At 44.0% G+C, this 21,418-nt stretch overlaps 1 annotated feature.

The window, feature by feature from the left end:
* Positions 13,802-14,500: an enhancer, noted in NCBI's record as "H3K4me1 hESC enhancer chr10:29214143-29214841 (GRCh37/hg19 assembly coordinates)". NCBI's record gives its function as "activates a minimal SCP1, AML or CMV promoter by ChIP-STARR-seq in primed H9 embryonic stem cells {active_cell/tissue: H9 hESC(primed)}" and the evidence as "EXISTENCE:reporter gene assay evidence [ECO:0000049][PMID:30033119]".

Below are 21,418 nucleotides of genomic sequence, written 5' to 3'. Positions count from 1 at the left end.
TCTAAACACTATGTAATTAGATGAGCTTGGAACTCTGCAAGGGGGGCAGTTTGTAGTGCAGATCCGTTTCCCACTGAAGTGCATGGAGGCTGCAGGAGCGGAGGTGAAGGGGATGGAGGTGAGTAAGAGAGGGGAGTTCCCCTGCGGGGCCTTCAGACTCCAGCTGGGATAAGGCGTGGTTGTGCTGGGCAGGGACCCTGCGCCTGTGCCCCGTCCTGCAGGCCAGCAAGTCGCCCTTCCTAGGAGGCAGTCTTCAGTCTACACTCTGCAAACAGCGCCCCCTGGAACCGTGCAACATGAGGGTCCTGGCACTTTCGTGTACGAGTGTTTCTGAAAGGTCAGAGCTCCGTGGCAATTGCAATCTTACTTAAATTATTTCTGCTTCTCCTTTTCGATTAATATCGATCGAGTGTGTTGTAATGTTCTGGGACACTTGTGAATTCTACTGTCATTAACGTGTGAATCCAGGTTGATAGCAACAAAGAGTCATGTATGAAATGCCTAACCAAGAGGCTTAGATTTCCATAATCACTTAATACTTGATTCCTTTAGGATTTAGTTTGCCAAATATATCTTTCCAGAGATAGCAGCAAGTCATTAATCTCATAATGAAAGATACTAACAGGAAGAACCCTGTTCAATATAAATGTATCTTTAGTGGTACTTTATTCAGCTCTGCTTAACTAAAGCAGTATTATGGGCTGTGTACTCATTTGGAGTTTTGTGCTCCGAATCACCTGAGAAACTTTTATTAGACATACAGATGCCCAGACCACATCACAGATCTGGAGTGGTGCCCAGATACTGGTATTTATATTAAGTTCTTTTGCTATTTCAGACACAGAGCTAAATTTAAGAGTCACTAATTTGTTTGATAAATCAGAATAACTCTTGCCTTTCCAAATTCACTAGATGAATATGGAGATCTAAATTTTCTCCCACATTAGCTGTATTAACCTGGCCTGAGATAGGATTTCACTGTCCTGAAGGAAGAAGAGGCGCATAGGGCTTTTTCAACCAACATTCGTTTAATTGCTTGTTTCTTATGAAGGGCATAAGGCTGTGAACTGATCATTTTAATTGGTAAACCCAGCAAGTGCAACTCCCTCAGGCAAAATATTAGGACCTAATACAGATTCAATAGGTGTGAGAGAGACGGAAATAGGTGTATCTATTTGAGGTTCTGGACTAAGAAGGAATAATTGTAGCATTTATCAAGTATTTACTATGTGCCAGGCACTGTTTCGGTGTTTTCTGCATAATATACGCACGTAACCCTTACAGTAACTTAGCCCTCACCATGTTACCGGTGGAGGATGTCCAGGTTCTTGGCATTTTGAACAAAGAATTGGACAAAACTCACAAAGCAAGGAAAGAATGAAGCAACAAAAGCAGAGATTTATTGAAGACGAAAGTACACTCCACAGAGAGGGAGCAACTGGAGCATAGGGGCTCAAGAGCCCAGTTACAGAATCTTCTGGGCTCCGAATACCCACTGGAGCTTTCCCGTTTGCCACTTGGTGTTCATCTCATGCAAATGAAGCAGTATCCCGCAATCAGTCTGATTGCAGTCTGGTTGCAGAAAGCAACCAATCAGAGGCTAAAGTGAAGTTACAAAGTTGCACTCCTATGCAAACAAAGACTTATCCCGCAATCAGAGGTACTTTCAATTTTCCATCTGCCGCGCAGAAAAGAGGGGGTTTGCTAAGGGAGAAGCCTCTGGTCCTTCTGTTACTTAAGCTTGGAAAGTTGGGGTTTTCCTTTCAATTTAGTTCTAAGAGGTCAGCTTGAGCTGGCCTTAGGTTCCCTGCCTCCAGAGCCTATTCTCCTGCCTCAACAACAACCTATGGTAACTTTATCATCATGTCCATTTCCCAGATACAGAAATGGAGGCACTCAAAGGTTCAGCACTTTGCCTAAAGTCACACAGCTAGTAAACAGCAGAGCTGGGAATGGGAGGTGGGAGAATCGTTCTGGAATCCTCTGTCAGCCACTGCACTCTACTGAGGCAGGTAGCATTGTGTTTGTCCTGAAAAATCAGCCCTTTATGACTCTAGTAAGAACTTTTTCATTCAACCATCCTCAGTCTCCCATTTGTCATGAGTAGCTTATAAACTCATCATACAATCTTGCTACAGAAAAACCCACCAGAATTAGAATTAATTCTTTCCCAGAAATATAGAGAAGGAAAATCACTCTTCTTCTTCCACATAACTAGAGTCTTGGAGGACAATCTCAATGTGTATTTGTCAGCGAAAATGGGTGAGTGGATAGAGGTTGGAGAATAATTAGATTTCCCTGACCCTAATTCCTTATTCTACATCTAATATTGTGTCTGGCTAAGCCAGAGAAAGTCCCAGCCTCTAGGTTATATGGCAGCCTAAGTAAAAGCATGACCTCAAGGCTGACTCTAAAGAGCTATTGCAGGAGATCTTTGGCAGCTCCAATTCTATCCTTAACATATGCTGGCCACGTCTACTTTCATACTCACCTGTCAAAACTCATTTCCACCATCACCAAGGGGCCATACTAATTATTCTGTAGTCACTTTGGCATATTATAAGTTTTGTATTATTACTTCCAATAAGCATCTCACTGGCTACAGCTTAGAATATCTTTTTCATTGTTGGGATTTATAAAAGATAAACAGGATATAGAAATATATAGTATGGCTGGGTGCAGTGGCTCACGCCTGTAATCCCAGCACTTTGGGAGACCCAGGTGGGCAGATCACTTGAGGTCAGGAGTTCAAGACCAGCCTGGCCAACATGGCAAAATCCCATCTTTACTAAAAATACAAAGATTAGCCGGGCATGGTGGCGTGCACCTGTAATCCCAGCTACTCGGGTGGCTGAGGAGGAGAACCGATTGAATGAACCTAGGAGGCAGAGGTTGCAGTGAGCCAAGATCACACCACTGCACTCAAGCTTGGGCAACAGAGCGAGACTCCGTCTCAAAAATAAAACAAAGTACAGTATGCAAGTCCACAGCCTCAAGAATAGCCACTCTCAACTGAGTGGCTGTCAGTTACCGCCACAGTGTGCCCATGAGCACCCCTTCCTTGAAGTAGTTGAGAGTTGGCCACCACCAGTTCTCCCCTTGTCAAAAGTCACACCTCTGCTCTCAAAGGAGTCCCAAACAGGGATGTCTGGGTACCACTTTCTCTCCAATCTTGACATGCCAAAAGGATAAAGAATAAATAAACCGGCTTGCCACATTTGAGATGCTGCCAACCTCTGGCTTTACAGAAGTGGTCACTGAATGGTCTTTGGGACAAGTGGTGTGGGTCCCAATGGCCTCACACAAAGCCCCATCACTGATGGAGAGGAATGACAGATGTCCTTCTCCTCAGCCCCGGGCCATGCCACAGGGACACTCTGTGGCACTCCCCTGTCCACAGTGCTTTTGCTAGAGCACCATCATTGTTAATTTCAGAACAGGAGAAACCAGAAAACAGTCAAGCTCCTTACTTCTGAGCATGCATACCCGGGCCCAGCCCCACCCAGGCTCATACAGCACCTTGGCTAGAACCTGAGTCCCACCCTTACTGTGGCTGTATAAATTTACATGTGATTTTAATAAAAAATAGATGCACAAGCCCCACTCCTTGCCCAGGCTTGCTTTGTATGGCGCCCAGAACAATGCGTTCCCAGTGTGGATGTTGAATAAAGCACCATTTGATGATGATCTTCCTTCAAGGCTCAGAGCCCCCACTTTCCTCTTTAACAATAAAAGCCTTTGGCTGTTCAGCTTCCTTCTTACCCCAAAGCAGAGATCCCGGCTGAAGATCACATTCCAGAGCTTTCTGTGCCCACTGCCCCTTGGCCTCCCCTGCAAGGGTCCTCAGTGTAATTGCAGGCTCAGGTTTGACTTCCTTGGGAAATGTCTTTAAAATCAGAGAAATCTAAGCGGAGTTCGGAATCATTCTGAAAATTGTCGCCGACCCCAACCCCCAGCGTATCTTCATGCCCTGCATGGGGGAACCCATGGTACATTTGAAGGCCCCAGGCTGGGCTAGCCTGTGTTCACCGCAACGGCCTTGATCCAATCACTTGCTGAGGAAGAACTCCCGGGGAGATGAATGCCATTACAAATCTTACCCTCAACATGAAACGCCAGTGATTGTTTATTAAATTGCTCTTCAAAGAGAAAACACTGGCAGGCATGTATCATTAAAATGGAAGCAAAGGGAAACGCTGTAACCTTCAACACCGAGTTTTTCTCCATTAACCCCAGACCAATACAACTGAAATAGCCGGGAGGAACTTCTGGCCCTGAGCCCCATCAATTACCTTAATCTCAGCCCAGGGAGGGGTAATACAATCCATCCAATTTAAGTATTTCCAAACACTGCCATAAGAAAGAAAGAAAAGAAAAGACAAAGAAAAGCCCTCAACCCTAACTCCACTGTCTCAAGTCCAGTTCAGGACAAATTGCAATACACATGAGTAACATGAAAACATAAAAGACATACCCTCCAGTGAAAACCTTGCACAACTTTCCCAAGTAAGCAGAATTAATCACAGGGAACAATTACCATTTCCAGTCTGAATATTTATGACATAACAGAAAACCCCTTTAAAATACTCAGTGGCTCATAATTTTTTTTTCCACTCTTTAAATTTTTTTTTAAATTGTGGTAAAATACACGGAACATTAACGTTGCCATCTTAACCTTTTTTTCTCACACTGTCGCCCGGGCTGGAGTGCAATGGCGCGATCTCGGCTCACTGCAACCTCCGCCTCCCGGGTTCAAGCGATTCTCCTGCCTCAGCCTCCCAAGTAGCTGGGACTACAGGCATGCATCACCACACCCAGCTATTTTTTGTATTTCTTTTTTTTTTTTTTTTTTTTTTTATTGATCATTCTTGGGTGTTTCTCACAGAGGGGGATTTGGCAGGGTCATAGGACAATAGTGGAGGGAAGGTCAGCAGATAAACAAGTGAACAAAGGTCTCTGGTTTTCCTAGGCAGAGGATCCTGCGGCCTTCCACAGTGTTTGTGTCCCTGGGTACTTGAGATTAGCGATGGGCGGCCAGGCAGAGACGCCCCTCACTTCCCAGACGGGGTGGCGGCCGGGCAGAGGCTGCACTCTGGGCACTTTGGGAGGCCAAGGCAGGCGGCTGGGAGGTGGAGGTTGTAGCGAGCCGAGATCACGCCACTGCACTCCAGCCTGGGCACCATTGAGCACTGAGTGAACCAGACACCGTCTGCAATCCCGGCACCTCCGGAGGCCGAGGCTGAGTGGCTCATAATTTTTAAAAGAGCTACAGAAAAAGAAAAGGCACTCTAAATTTATGATGGAAAGTTGGGGGGAAGTCTTGATGCCCCGCCCACTCTATTTGGTATGTCCCACACATCATTTTTATTCCTCTCCCTTCCAGAATCCCAGTAATTTTTTTTTTTTTTTTGAGATGGAGTCTTGCTGTCGCCCAGGCAGGAGTGCAGTGGCATGATCTCAGCTCACTGCAACCTCCACCTCCTGGATTCAAGCAATTCCCCTGCCTTAGCCTCCTAAGTAGCCGGATTTACAGGCGGGTGCCACCATGCCCGGCTAATTTTTGTATTTTTAGTAGAGACGGGATTTCACCATGTTGGCCAGGCTGGTCTCAAACTCCTGACCTCAGGTGATCTGCCCGCCTCGGCCTCTCAAAGTGCTGGGATTACAGCCATGAGCCACTGCACCTGGCCCAGAATCCCTGTAACTTTCACTCCCACCTTTGCTGATAGGTCAGCTGAGTGGCAATGGGAAGATGGGATGTGCTGAAGGCACTAGTGTCCTCTGTTCCCAGCACTTCTCTTTTCCACTCCAGGTGTTTCCACCTTCCCCAACCTCCTCCCTCTCCAGCAGCCATAGAGTAGGCATTGGCACGCAGAAACGGAAATAACACAGGACCAAGAGTCATGGTCCCTGCTCTACCACACCTGTGTGTGATCCTATGCATGGCTCATAGTCTGCTGATCTGAAAAATGGAGGCCTTTAATTGGAGCACTTCTGGTTTCCTTCTGCTTCTATCAATATAAGAATTCTGCGATTCAAGTATTGCTTCAAGAGATGGATCCATCATTCGCTCATTCACTGAAAAAGCACAGATTGAGTAATGAGTATGTGTCAGGCACTGTTCTAGGTTCTAGAATGAAAGCAGTGAACAGAAGTGTCCCTCTGTCCCTCATGGAACTTACACTCAAGTGGAAAAAACTGGACAACAGCCAAGTACACAAGTAAAAATAGTATAATTTCAGATCACAAGTAAGAAGAAGGTATGTCCAGGGTGAGGCTATGGCTTTTTTAGGTAGCATAGTAGGGGGCCTGAATGAAGTACGGGAATGACCAATTTCTGGGCTATTACTCAAATATAGTAATGGGAGAACCTTCCAGTTATTTCAATATTTCAGAAAGTTCCATAGAAACTGTGTATTCAGCCTATATGTTAACTAAAATGATTCTTAGCTTTTGGCTAGAAATATTGCCATTTGAAATGGTATTACTGATCATCTCATTCCTCTAATCAGCCAAATTAGGGATCCTGAGAATCTTAATCTGATTGAAATATGGAAAAATCAATTATTATATTACTTATAAAGTTATTAGATGGTTGTGAGTAGCAAATATTTGAGACCATTGGCTGTAAGACTAGACACCTCTACCTCTAGAATGGACATTGCAAGCCTTCCTCTTATACAAAACAGAAATAACACCCTTGTTTTGAACATACCTAATTTTCAACCATGATTGTGTGGCCTGTGGATTAACCAGATTCCTTCTCTCTCCAAAGACTATTTTTCTGTAATTTACTATGATTCCACTTCAGACTGCAGGGAGAGAGAAAATACATCTAGTGAAATTTTACTCTTAAAAGCTGTTCTTTTGAAAGCAATGCTAAGAGAAGGAGCTGAAACTATTAGCTTAAAATTTAGGAGAAACATTGAATTTCAGTTACTCATTCTCTTCATATTTTCCAGTCTCTTCAGGTATCCAAGCATTCATACAATAATTTTAGTTAAGAAACACCTGGCCGGGCGTGGTGGCTCACGCCTGTAATCCCAGCACTTTGGGAGGCCAAGGCGGGCGGATCAGGGGTCAGGAGATCGAGACCATCCTGGCTAACACGGTGAAACCCTGTCTCTACTAAAAATACAAAAAAATTAGCCAGGCATGGTGGTGGGCACCTGTAGTCCCAGCTACTAGGAAGGCTGAGGTAGGAGAATGGCGTGAACCCGGGAGGCGGAGCTTGCAGTGAGCCGAGATCAGATCATGACACTGCACTCCAGCCTGGGGGACAGAGCGAGACTCCATCTCAAAAAAAAAAAAAAAAAAGAAAAGAAACATCTTGTGTCTCTGCTAGATGCCAGGAATACAAAATGAATAGAACACCACCTCTGTCCTTAAGGTGCTTATAGTATATAGTGGCTCAAAGCATATACTAAATTATATAGATGAAGTTTGTACTTGAAATATAGGTTATCTCTTACATTGTGTCAGTAAGAATTATGCTGTAGTAACAAACAATTCCTTTTTTTATTTTTTTATTGAGACACAGTCTCACTTTTTTGCCCAGGCTGGAGTGCAGTGGCACAATCTTGGCTCACTGCAACCTCCACTTCCCAGGTTCAAGCAATTCTCCTGCCTCAGCCTCCTGAGTAGCTGAGATTACAGGTGTGTGCCAGCATGCCTGGCTAATTTTTGTATTTTTGGTAGAGACAGGGTTTCCCCATGTTGGCGAGGCTGGTCTCGAACTTGTGACCTCAGGTGATCCACTTGCCTCAGCCTCCCGAAGTGTTGAGATTACAGGCGTGAGCCATCGTGCCCAGCCCCAAATTTTTGGTGGCTTAAAGCTACCAAAGTTGATTTTTCACTTGTACTACATGTCTATTGAGAGTTAGCAGGAGCCCAGAGGAGTTGGGGATGGGAGTGGAGTCTATTCTTCCTAAATATTTAGGTATTCATGTTGATAAAGCAGCCACCATCGTGCATATTACTGGTTGTCATGCCAAACAGAAAGGAAAGCTCTGGAGGATCTCAAGTCGGAAACTCAATCTTCTAGCACAGAAATGACACATGTTTTACATCATAACTCATTGGCCAGACTGATCTCAAGAACCCACCTACCCACAAAGCAATCAGGAAGTGGGATCCTACCATGTGCCCAGAAAAGGAAAGAACTGAAAATATTTCACGAACAGCAATCACGATTATGATAGATATAAGAGAGCCAAAAGACCTGGTCTCTGGCCTCCAAAAGCTTGCCTGCTAACAAAATTTGTTTCATCAAGAAAGAAACTAAAAGTCCTTAAAAGACAAGTTTAACAATGCCTCAGGGAAGTATAATTATTTCGTTGTTTACATCATCATGTTGAAACCTCCTGTTTAATTGGGAAGCATGCCCTCTACTTGCCCTCCACTTCTCTGTAGAGTGTTTCCAGATTAAGAAGAAGGAGGGGTAAGAAGAAGTGTAGATGTTCCTACCCCCTAGAAGCACGCAATCCAAAAAGTCATGAAAATCAGACCCTCAGATTCCATCAAGACTCTGCAAATAAGTATGTGTATTAGCTCAGTCTCCAGTCTCTCTCATTAATCCCATCCTAAGGAAGAGGAAAAGTGGCCATTGCTACCCTTTTCCCATTACCAACTGGGCAGCCTCCCAGGGCTCAAGAGCAGAGTTGAGAGTATCAAGAGAATGCTAACCTTTCAGAAGCCCCAGAGGAGAGCTGGCATTTACACTGAAGCAATTAGCCAGCAATTTTGGCATTTGTGATTGGCTCACAGAGCCAGCAACTCAGCCAGAATGCTTTTCTAATAAACATTAAGTCTGGTTCAACTTGAAAGTGTTCCCCAGAAAAGTCCACTGTACAACAGCAATCTCACATATGTAAATAATCGTTGGGCAAGTTTGTGACAGACTTTCAATTTTGATTAGATATTGTCCATTTAATTAGGATGCTCATCCCAAATCTATTGGACGGGATGGAAGAGAGGTTGTCATTCCAAGTTCTACTGTGGCCAGCAGCTGACGTGACTTCCCAGTCTAACCAGACTTAGAATTGCTAAATCTTTCTGCTTAGAATTTGATATGAAATACTAGAGGTCTTCAAACATTCATGGAAATGCATATTATGAAAAAAATTCATGAATTTCAAATTTTTTTGCACCAACATAAATTTGTACTAACTTATTATAACATGTCTGAGCAGGATCTAGTCTGAGGCATTCTGAAGGATAAGACGTCTGTTGGAAAAGAATCCCTGTCACAGCAACATGAATTCTGCTAAAGTAAAACAAGAACAAACACCAAATTTGTGGTGACACTTGGGTGAAAGAATGGTGAAATCATTAATGCTTTACAAAAAGTTAATGGGGACAATGCCCCAAAGAAAGCACTAGTTTACAAATGGCTCATTTATTTTAAGAAGGGGTGAGATGATGTAGAAGATGAAGCCCATAGCGGCAATCTACATCAATTTGCAAGGAATAAATTAATTTTGTTCATGCCCTAATTGAAAAGAACCAACAAATAAGAGCAGAAACAATAACTAACATCATCTCAATTAACTAACTAACTAACTAACAATCAACTAACTAACAATGACATCATTTCAATTGGTTCAGCTCACACAATTCTGACGGAAAAATTGAAGTGGAGCAAACTTTCCACCTGATGGGTGCCAAAACCATTGCGCCCAGATCAAGAGCACAGGAAATAGAAAGCACTGAGCTTTGGGAATTCTAAACAAGTGGCATCAAGATCCTGAAGCATTTCTTCAGGAGAAGAAACATGTAACTGGGGATGAAATATGGCTTTACTTGTATGATCCTGAAGACAAAGCACAATCAAAGCAATGGCTACCAAGAGGTAGGAAATGGTCCAGTCAAAACAAACATGGACCAGTCAAAAGCAAAGGTCATGGCACCAGTTTTTTGGGATGCTCAAGGTATTTTGTTTATTGACTTTCTGGAGGGCCAAAGAACAATAACATCTGCTTATTATAACAGGGTTTTGAGAAAGTTAATCAAAGCATTAGCAGAAAAACACCCAGGAAAGCTTCACCAGAGAGTCCTTCTGCACCACGACAATGCTCCTGCTCATTCTTCTCATCAAACAAGGGCAATTTTGTGAAAGTTTTTATGGGAAATCATTAGGCATCCACCTTACAGTGTTGATTTCAGTCCTTCTGATTTATTTTTGTTTCCCAATCTTAAAAAATCTCTAAAGAACACTCATTTTTCTTGGTTTATAATGTAAAAATGATTGTATTGACATGGTTAAATTCCCAGGACCCTCATTTCTTTAGGAATGGACTAAATGGCTGATATCATCACTTATACAAGTATCTGAAACTTGAAGAGCTTATGTAGAGAAATAAAGTTTATATTTTTAACATTTATCTTTTCATTCTATTTTCCATGAGCTTTTTAAGTCCCCTTGTAAGAGAAAAATTTGTTTTGAGGATTGAAAATATTTTGATTTCTAAGTGACACCAGGGTAAACTTTTCTACCTGTAATCCTCAAACCACTATAATTATGACTAATAAATATAATAGTAATTCTTATGATACCCAATGGAAAAAAAATATCTTTTATGACCTTGTCTACCTCTAGGCTAAAACACTCTATCTCCATGTTCTAGGTTTCTTCAAAGGCTGGTTCCCTAGCCACCTCCCCTCTCTCCTTCTACTTCCATACGCCAGCAAGTCATTTACCTGAAACTTCTCTCACCAATGACTTCTTAATTGCCCAATGCAACAGCTTCTTTTCCTACTTGACATTCTGCATCGTGGTATATCAGGAGAGTATCCTGTGGATAAATAAACAGGCTTCAGGAGCAGTAAGACCTTGAATCCAGGATCTACTCTTATGAGCACTGTGATATGAAGTCTTGGAAATCTAGGTTTCCTCATCAGGAAATGAAGATAATATGAGCTCCTATGTCATGGGTTTCTCATGATGATTAAATAGAATAATATGTGTAAACAGTCTGACAGTGCTTGGCACAAGGCCAGCTCTCAATGTTTGGTTATTGATTTTAGTATTGAGCTGGGTGTGGTTCATGCCTGTGATCCCAGCACTTTGGGAGGCCAAGGCAGGAAGATCACTTGAGGCCAGCCGGGACAACATAGAGAGACCTCATCTCTACAAAAAATTAAAACGTTAGCCAACCATGGTGGCACATGCCTATAGTCTCAGCTACTCAGGAGGCTAAGACAAGAGACTCACTTAAGCCCAGGAGTTCAAGGATACGGTGAGCCATGATTGCACCATGCACTCCAGCCTGAGTAACAGAGCAAGACCCTGTCTCTTAAAATATAAAAATCATAATTTTTTTAAAAAAGATATTAGTATTCGTGGTGGTGATCACTGTTTTCTTCTTCACACTGTCTTCTCCCCTTATTTGGTTTCTATGATACATAATTTCCTGGTATTCATTTAAAAAATTTGACGATATTCTCACTTAATGCACCAAACCTCCAAATCTCCCTCTCCTGTGTTCCCACATTAGTTCAGAGGCACACCATTTCTCACCTGGACTGTTACAACAGTCTTTGAGAAACATTCCCCATAATGGAATCTTTGCTCACTCCAGTCCATGCTCCACACGCATACATAATTCAGAAGCAAAAAACTCTTTAAAAACCTTCAAACATGGCCCTCTCCTGATCCAAACATTTTACAGCCTTCCTGGAAGTAAAGTGACCACAGTTCCCTTGGTAACCCTCTCCTTGGAAGAGCATCCCTGGAGACTCCCTTCAATTTGTTACCCTAAATGTTACCTAAGCCTCCTCCCTGGATTTCATCCTAATTTTCCTCTGTTTAGCAAAAATGTCTTCCCAACCCCCAGGCCATAAGCCAGTAGTGGTCTGTGGCCTTTTAGGAGCCAGGTCACACAGGAGGAGGTGAGCAGTCGGTGAGCTAGCATTACCGCCTGAGCTCCGCCTCCTGTCAGATCAGTGGTGGCATTAGATTCTCATAGGAGCACAAACCCTGCTGTGACCTATGCATGCGAGGGATCTAGGGTGCACGCTTCTTATGAGAATCTAACACCCGATGATGTGAGGTGGAACAGCTTCATCCCGAAACCATCCCCCCAACCCTACCCCTGTCCTGGGTCTGTGGAAAAATTGTATTCCACAAAACAGTTCTCTGGTGCCAAAAAGGTTGGGGACTGCTGGTCTACACCACTTGTGGCTTTGGTTGGTAAAACGCTTTTAATTTTGTTTAAGATAAAGTTATTTTATGAGTTAGGAAATTTTCAGCTACAAGTAACAGAAAAAAACCACCAGTTCAACTGGCTTGAACCAATAAGAGGTCATATTATGTTCTGTATCGAGAAGTCTGAAAATTGAGTGGCTTTTCAAGGTTTGTTAATCCAGTGGTTCAACCATGTCATCAGGGACCTGAGTTCTTTGCATGCTTCTATTCCGTCATCTTCAGAATGCCTGTTTGATCCTGATGGTTTCAAGAAATCACAACCTGACATGGCACTACCCAGTGGGCAGTATGCGGTCCCAACCAGCCATGAGTCAAGCATCTTTATCTCCATTTCATAAATAAAAAAAATACAGGCTCAGATAGGTTAAGTGACTTGCCCCAGGTCACACAGCTATTAGTGGTAGAAACAGGATTTGGACTTCTGTTTACCTGACTCCAAAGTCCATGCTCATAAACACTTGGTTCTACTCCTTCCAAGCATGACAGCAAATGACTTTGCCCTGGAAAAAGTAGGATTAAACGTAGTTTAAAAGTAGGATTCACCAGGCTAATATTTCATGCACACTTCATAAGACCTGGATTTCTATCATCAATCATCAGCTATAGTCACCATTCTCAAAAAATATTAATAGTGTGCTTACACTACACAAATGCGTGTAATGTCTTAATCTTTAATTTCTAATCAGAACACACATTCAGACAATGTTTTCATATAATGGTTGCAACTGGCTTCTATGTGTGTGATATGTGAGTATACATAGATGTATGTATATTCATATATACGTCTGCATATGCGTATATGTGTACGATTCCATTTCATTGATAAACTAACCAAGGGCCTAAAAAGTTAGGAACTCCGTCCAATTTATACGGCTAGTAAGACATTGAGGGGTTTTAGGAGACATCCCGATGACCTCCTGATACAATATTCTTTCCTGGAAGACGCTTAAGCTAACAAATTCCTTCCATTCAAAGTAGAGGGAATTGTAGCAGAATTTCAGTGAGCTTTTCTAAGTGACATGATGGCAATGTCCTATCAGATAAAGGGACTCAGTGCAGGGAGCACGTGTCATACCCAGCGGTGGTGCAGCAGGAGAACTAGCACATCAATCTCTCATGTCACATTTTCTCACAGACCTCTGTGAACCACAACCACCCTCTCCATTGCTTGCCTTTATTTTCTTTTTTTTCTTTTCTTTTTTTGAGATGCAGTCTTGCTCTGTCGCACAGGCTGGAGTGCAGTGGCGCAATCTCGGCTCACTGCAACCTCTGCCTCCCAGGTTCAAGCGATTCTCCTGCCTCAGCCTCCTGAGTAGCTGGGATTACAGATGCCCACCACCACGCCCCGCTTTTTCTTTCTTTTTTTTTTTTTGTATTTTTAGTAGAGATGGGGTTTCGCCATGCTGGCCAGGCTGGTCTCGAACTCTGACCTCAAATGATCCATCTGCCTCGGCCTCCCAAATTGCCGAGATTACAGGCGTGAGCCACCGCACCCGGCCTCTTTTTTTCTAATACGAGAAAAGGCATACAGATCTATTTAATATGTACACACAGAGAGAAACACCTTTCCTCCGGTCCATATTTCTATCTAGGTGAGTACCAGACACACTTGATAAGTAAGCAAGCAAATCCCTCCTTGATTAGTGGAAAACAGAGGAAATGTGGGTTATTTATTTGCCCTATTTACCTTCCAAGAGAATCACAAAACAAGTAAAGTTAGTGAATACTCCTCCCAAAACTCACACGCCAATTTTCATCCTGCCAGCCTGAACCACTTGCCCCAGGGCTTGTAAAGCAAAAGGAGGACTATAAATAATTCAGGTCTAATCCTCAGGGCAGGTGACAGGGTCCTCAGAGTGCTTCACATGTGTGTCCTGATACCTGACTCCCCGGGAACACAGCAACACCGGTCCCAGGTCATCGAGCCCTGCCGCTGAGCCTCTGCACCAAATTGGCTTTGAGAAACCACACAGCTCCCATGGCAGGCTTTTCCTCTCCTTCTGCGCCTCAGAAGCTCAGGATGATCTGTCCCAGACCACATTAAGCCAATCAGATCTGGAGCCTGAGCACTGGCCCGGCGTCTTCCTCGCTTGCGCCCAGTGGCCGCAGGCCGACCCCCTCGGCGGCCCTGATTTACGCATCTAAGTATCAGGACAGCCTTGCTATGCTGATTTTGGAGTCTGGCAGCATTTCCTGAAACGAAATGGTGGTTGGGCTAAGGCCTGGCAGCGACCTCCCGGTGACACGAGCTCATGAATACGCGGGTCTGTTGCTGCTTCTGCGGCGTAATTCTCCGTGCGGAAACCTTCGGTTAGGGGCCGCCGCCTCCCTCTGGTGCGCAGCCAGCCCCGCCGCCTTATTTCTCTTGGCCGAGCTGACATTACCGTATGTTAGCTTTGCTCTACAAGCTCCCGTGGTACAGAGGGGTGCTTCCACACATGGGGAGGATGCGGGGAGACGGAAGGAGGTGGGTGCATGTGGCTCTCCAGTGGCACCCCAGTGCTGCGCTCAGACCCGTGCCCTGAAGGATCCCTATTCCAGAGACAATCAGGGCGTTCCCCCGGAACCTCAGTAATACCTTTCTCTGAAGCACTGTGGGCAGGCATGTTTTAGCAGCAGGGGCCAGTAGCCTGTTCTTGCCAAAATCTCCTTTACCTCTTCCCCGTCTAGCTCTGGGTGGCCAAGGGAAATGGCTTGGCGGGCTGGAACTGCCTCAGGTTCAACTGAAGGGAGCCTGTGCTGCCTGGAATCCAGAAGGCAGCACAGTTTTCTTCGGGAGCCCTCAGGAGCCTCCTGAGAGCTGGAGCCAGGGAGCGTTCCCCTTTGTGATTACACTGACACCCTTCCCACCTCCCCTGCACGTGCTTCTGCTTTGATTCAGAACACCAGAACAAAATCAGATCCACCCCAAAAGAACACATGCCTTAAAAGCAGAGGAGAAAAAGGTTGTGGAGCCACAGTTGCTTCTGCTTCCCGACTCATCAAATTCTACAGCGCCTTTCAAATTACATAGAAAATAGGGCCGGGCGCAGTGGCTTAAGCCAAAAATCTCAGCACTTTGGGAGGCCGAGGCAAGCGGATCACTTGAGGTCAAGAGTTCGAGATCAGCCTGGGCAACATGATGAAACCCCGTCTCTACTGAAAATACAAAAATTAGCCGGGCGTGATGGCGCCCGCCTGTAATCCCAGCTACTCAAGAAGCTGCAGCACGAGAATTGCTTGAACCCAGAAGGCGGAGGTTGCAGTAAGCCGAGATCTACCCATCACCCCCGACTCAAAAAAAAAAAAAAAAAAAAGAAAAAGAAAAAAGAAAGAAAAGAGGGTGGCTCATGGCAAACACGTTAAGTAAGTTTCATCTCGTGTGCCAGCTCCATTTAATTGGTAGTGGTGTTCTAGAGCACTGTGCTAAGAAACCTTCTGAGGCAGAATTCAACCAGCAGGAAGGAATGCTAGTATCCTTTACTAATTTCCTTTTTTTTCCCTTTTTTCTTTTTTTTTTTTTTTTTTTTTTGGTAGAGGTGGAGTCTTTCTATGTTGCCCAGGCTGGTCTCAAACTTCTGACTTCAAGTGATCCTCCTGCGTTGGCCTCCCGAAGTGCTGGGATTACAGTCGTAAACCACCACTCCTGGATTATCCTTTACTAATTTCATTCATAGATGAGAGATTGGGAGAAGAAAGAGGAAACTGCCACTTATTTTCCACATAAGTGTCATCTTCAAGGTAGGAGACAGGGCCAAACCATCAAGTATTGAAACCCAGGCTTTACCACTTTCTAGCTGTATGATTTGGGGCAAGCTACTTAACCTCTCTGAATCTCACAAAGCCTTATCATTATATGGAAATCATATTTAAAATTATTGGGAAGGAGACAAGATTTGACATTTTAAAAGCATCACTTCCCCCTGTCCTGAGAGGTAAAGGTTGTGTCCATAGGCCTGGAATCAGATGGGCATGGGCCTGAGCCTTGGCTGTGACTGCAATGCGGGGTGAATGGAGGAGATCTAGCAGAGTAATGCCTTTATAGAGGGAAGATTTACAGAGGATAAGCCATCTAAATAGAGCTGGATACAGAGAGGAAATCATAGAAGAGTCAGGGACAAGGACAACCAATCCAGTTCCAAGTGGATGGTGCAGGAGCTAAGCCTCAAGTGCTTCCCAGACAGGTTGGAAACTGCTGTGGCAAATTTTTTCCTAAGGTCCCAGGAAGATGCCAATAGCACTTAGATGTGAGTTCCCAGACCTAAGGATCTGGCACTGGAGGGCAAAGGAGGCACATCTTAAATATTTGATCTCTCCTCTCCTTTTCCCACCTGCTAGTTCCTTCAGTCATGTGCCAGCCAGGTGTCCATGACAGAGAAAGGCCACTGAGATGAAAGGGCAACGCTGTTCAACTGGAAGCTCTTTGATTTTGCTAAACACGCTAGTGGCTTTGGGTGTGTACACCAGTTATGAAGCTATTGTCTGTCAGCTCCATGTCTTCCTTCTGTATTCTGCTCAGTGATGCTGATGTCAGACCTGCAAACCACACTTCTATATGGCCACCTGCTCTATTAGGTTCCACCAAGAAGGGATTCAAGAGGGAGACTGCAGGGCTGGAAGAGGAGAAGGGAACATATTTCTTCTTATCTGTTTCCTACTCTTTTGAGCATCATGGTAGCAATACTACTTCACTGCGCAGAGGCAGTTCCTTTCCACATCAGCCACAGAATCCAGGTGCCAGCTTTTCTAGCACTTGCACAGCCAGCTTCTTCACACCTCAGCCTTAGAAACACCAGCACCAGATAGACAATATTTCCTCTGTGGAAATCTGGGTCCCAGACCCTCACACTTCTTCTCCCAGCTCAGAGACACTAGCTCTGACTAAGAAGTACACTTTCATCCTAGGTGAGAATCCCATCTTCACAGGGCCCATCCTCAAGCATTTATGTTTTCATAGCTCCAAACTCTTCCCATAGTTCTTTCAGCCCTTGGGGTGGTAGCTGCCTTCTGCAATTGCTACCTCTGGGATACCTTACTATACATTCTGCCATTTCAGTTAACTGGTCAGTAACCTAATTCTAGTTAGCAATTCTGTATATTAAATTCTTTCTGTGAAAGTCACTGGTGTGGTTTCTGTTTCCTGCCTGGACCCTGGACTCTGAGTCAAACCTGAGAATTCTAGTAGAAGAGCATGGAATTGCTCTGCATCACAGAAGGAAAAGAATGTGAGCCTGCCAGAACAATCCAGGAGGGAGGGTGAGAGGCAGTCATGGAAGCAGCGAAGGGGGCACCCAGCAGACAGGCAGCCTAGAGAGGACACAGGGAGTGGGGAAAGGGGGGTCAAAGGGCTATAAGAGCATTTTAAGAACTGCTTGGCTGGGTGCAGTGGCTCACGCCTGTAATCCCAGCACTTTGGGAGGCCAAGGCAGGCGGATCACCTGAGGTCAGGAGTTCGAGACCAGCCTGACCAACACGAGAAACCTCGTCGCTACTAAAAATACAAAATTAGCCAGGCATGGTGGCAGGCTCCTGTAATCCCAGCTACTCAGGAGGCTGAGGCAGGAGAATCGCTTGAACCTGGGAGGCGGAGGTTGTGGTGAGCCAAGATCGCCCCATTGCACTCCAGCCTGGGCAACAAGAGCGAAACTCTGTCTCAAAACAAACAAACAAACAAAAAACCGCCCTGCCTGCTAGTCCCTCCTCTCCCTTTTTTTCCAAACCTTCAATGAAGTCTACTCCATCCATAGGTAGTGTGAAGAGAGTTAATCGTTTGTTTTAAAGACCTTTTAAGAAGCTTAGAGATGGACTTGATGCCAAGTATTATCTTGTTAACTTGTACACTTTTAAGAACTGATCATAATCCTTCTCATTACAACTGTTGAGAAAAAGCTAAGAGTCTTTGATGGGCAACATGAGTTTTTGGTCAAACAAGTCTTCAAAGCAATGACTGCCCAAGGATTCTTAGAAATCATATAACTTTTCTACTAGTGAAAAAATGATTTTCTTATCACTCTGTTCACTTCAAGGTGGAGCGAAAGATGACATTGCTGGTGAGATGTTCAGCACTCTTTGGTCACGTTGGAAAAAAATTGTATTCGGTTGTCAGAGATGAAGAATTGTTAAAAACAAAATCTTTTTTATTCCTCCTAAAGACATTACAGCTCACAAAATCTCTGATAGCTTCCTGTAGCATGTATTTTACTATTCAAGGAGACAATTGAATGGGTTTATTTCTTCTTATGTTACATCTCAGCTTTAATAAGTAATGTCTGGCTGGGTGCGGCGGCTCATGCCTGTAATCCCGGCACTTTGGGAGGCAGAGGCGGGAAGATCACCAGAGGTCCGGAGTTCAAGACTAGCCTGGCCAACATGGTGAAACCCCGTTTCTACTAAAAATACAAAAATAAAATTAAAATAAAAATAGGTGATGTCTTTGAGCTAATTTATGCTCTCCATACCTTATGATCATCTAGCTGTGTGTTGGCAAGTCCAGGATGGTGGCTTTTGACGAACTGTGCTTTAAGGCAAACCATGGAGTAGAGAAAGATGGACAGCAGAGGATTTGGGGCTTTAATGGGCACACAGCCTGCTTAGGAGGAAGCTCATTAGTCTGGAGCTCCTGCCCCTTGTCTTTGTGAAGCCATTACTGGTCCCCTGGTATGCTGCTCATAGGCAAGGCAAAAGAAATTTATAGGAATCAAAGCTTATAGAAACAGCAACAACTTTAAGAGTCAGTTTGTTTAACCAAATTAAAATTGTTCTTTTTTTCTTCCTCCATTCCCAGAAGTGCATTTCTATTTCCACTGAGTTAATAAAGAAATGCGATGCAAACAGACCTTCTAAGTTCTCTGAAGCCCATGTCCCGGTCAGGCTAATAACTACAGCCCAACACACTGCAGCCACTGTGATTATGTGGCAGGTGTTGTGTTAAGCACTTTATACATTATTGCTCATTTAATCCTCTCAAGAACACCATGAACTAGATGTTATTTTCCACATTACACAAATGAGAAGATTGTGGTTGAAGGTGAAGGAGGTTAGAGAACTTCCCAAGGGTTCTTAGCTTCCAATTAGGATAGCCAGCATTTCACTCAGGTCTGCTCTATCAGGGGTCCCCAAGCCCCCGGGTCAGTGGTTTGTGGCCCATTAGGAACCAGCCCGCACAGCAGGAGGTGAGTGATGGGTGGGCCAGTAAAGCTTCCTCTGTACTTGCAGCCACTCCCCATTGCTCACATTACCACTTGAGCTCTGCCTCCTGTCAGATCAGCAGTGGCACTGGATTCTCATAGGAGCACAAACCCTACTGTGAACTGCCCATGCGAGGGGTCTAGGTTGTGAGCTCCTTATGAGAATGTAACACCTGATGATCTGTCACTGTCTCCCATCACCCCAGATGGGACTGTCTAGTTGCTGGAAACCAAGCTCCACACTCCCACTGATTCTACAATACGGTGAGTTGTATAATTATTTCATTATATATTACAAAGTAATAATAATAGAAATAAAGTGCACAATAACTGCAATGCGCATGAATCGTCCCAAAACCATCCCCTGCCCCAGTCCGTGGAAAAACTGTCTTCCACAAAACTGGTCCCTGGTTCCAAAAAGGTTGGGGACCATTGTGCTACATTCTGTAGCCCGTGTTTTTACCCACAGTGGCATACAGACAATCTGTTTCTGGTTATATGATCACATAACTAGTTGTATGTTGGGCACAATTTGGTCTCAAACTTCGTTTTGGAAGGAGAAACCTGTGAAGACAAAGTCTGTTTGGCTTGATGTGTTGGATATCACCTCAGAGATTCAATCCATGGATCTGTGTGCTGGACAGTGGGGAGGGCACTACTGAAAAGAGGTAGAAGAAATGCCTCAGAACTACACAGACCCTGTGCTCTGCTCTACCCTACAATGGAATGGTACCTGGATCTGACATGGTGCCATTATAAATTGACAAAGTGGATTTTTTTTTAATGATAAAAAGTAGCTGGTGAAAACATAAGAAGTACAGGCATTCATTCAACAAATCTTTATTGTGCATCTGCTATGTGCCAGGGACTGTGCTAAAGACATAACAGTGAACCATGCGGACCCTTGGCCTTCGGGGAGCTTCCTGCAGGTCACTGTGCCCTGTCATGCACTGGGGTGAAAGTGTGCATTGCTAATGCCTTTGTGAAAGTGATAGCTCAATGCATAATTTTTAAAAGGCTTTAAAATGTGCTGATGCTCTTCCTATTTTTCTTCTTTTTCTTTCTCTTTCTGAACAATTTTGTCTTCATGCCATAGGTGGTATAGAACAAGGTACGTGGGGGTAGGGGAGGGGCTTGTGAGGCGCCATGGTGGCCCAGAATGGGCTGTCAGGACCATCAAGAGGTGAGGGGCTGTGTGTGCAGGGGGAGGGCTGGCCTGGTGAGGAGTCAGGGCCTGGGTGAGGCAAGAGCTTTCACATGGAGGGCAGCGGGGTGAGGAAGATGTAGAGACATGGAGGGAAAATAGCAAAAACAAAATGTGTTTACTCTTCAATGTAGCAAAATTGCATCCAGAAATTACTTTGTGGCAATTAAATAGCAAACTAGATGGGCCAAATATGGACACATAGAGATGTGGGTCACATCATCATTCATAATAGCAAAAATTTGAAGACAACTGAAATGACCAACCAGAAGACACATGACTCCAGAGCCCAAACAGAGGTACACAAATGGATATTCATTAAAACCATGGGTGACAGTGCAGATCCGGGGTGGTAAGAAGGACAGATGAAGCTGGGAGAGTTGATTATCCCTATGGGCAAAGAGAAAATTGGACCCCAACTTCACACCATGAAAAAAAAAGAATCACCTCCTGGTGGCTAAATGGGGAAGACAAAACTTCAAAATTATTTAGAAGAAATTAAGGAGAAAGATCTTTATGGCTTCAACATGGTGAATTTCTTAAAACACAAAAGTTTTCCAACTTTAAAGACAAATACTGATAAGCTTCACTACATTAACATTAAGAACTTCTTTTTATCAAAAAGGCCCCATAAAGAGAGTGAAAAAATAAGCCACACACTGGAAGATAAATTTGCAATTTTGGAACTGACAAAGAATTTCTCCAAAAAGCTGAAAAAAAAAAAAAAAGACAAACAAGTCAACAAGCAAATAGGTAAAAGATATAAACATACATTTTAAGAAGAAAAAACAAATTAGTAGTAACCAGGGAAATGCAAATTACGCCATACAGATGTACCACTTT

The sequence above is a fragment of the Homo sapiens genome, chromosome 10, assembly GCF_000001405.40.
Source record: "Homo sapiens chromosome 10, GRCh38.p14 Primary Assembly".
NCBI lineage: Eukaryota > Metazoa > Chordata > Mammalia > Primates > Hominidae > Homo > Homo sapiens.
The sequence above is the reverse complement of the archived record's forward strand: the minus strand, read 5'-3'. Positions and strand labels throughout refer to the sequence as shown.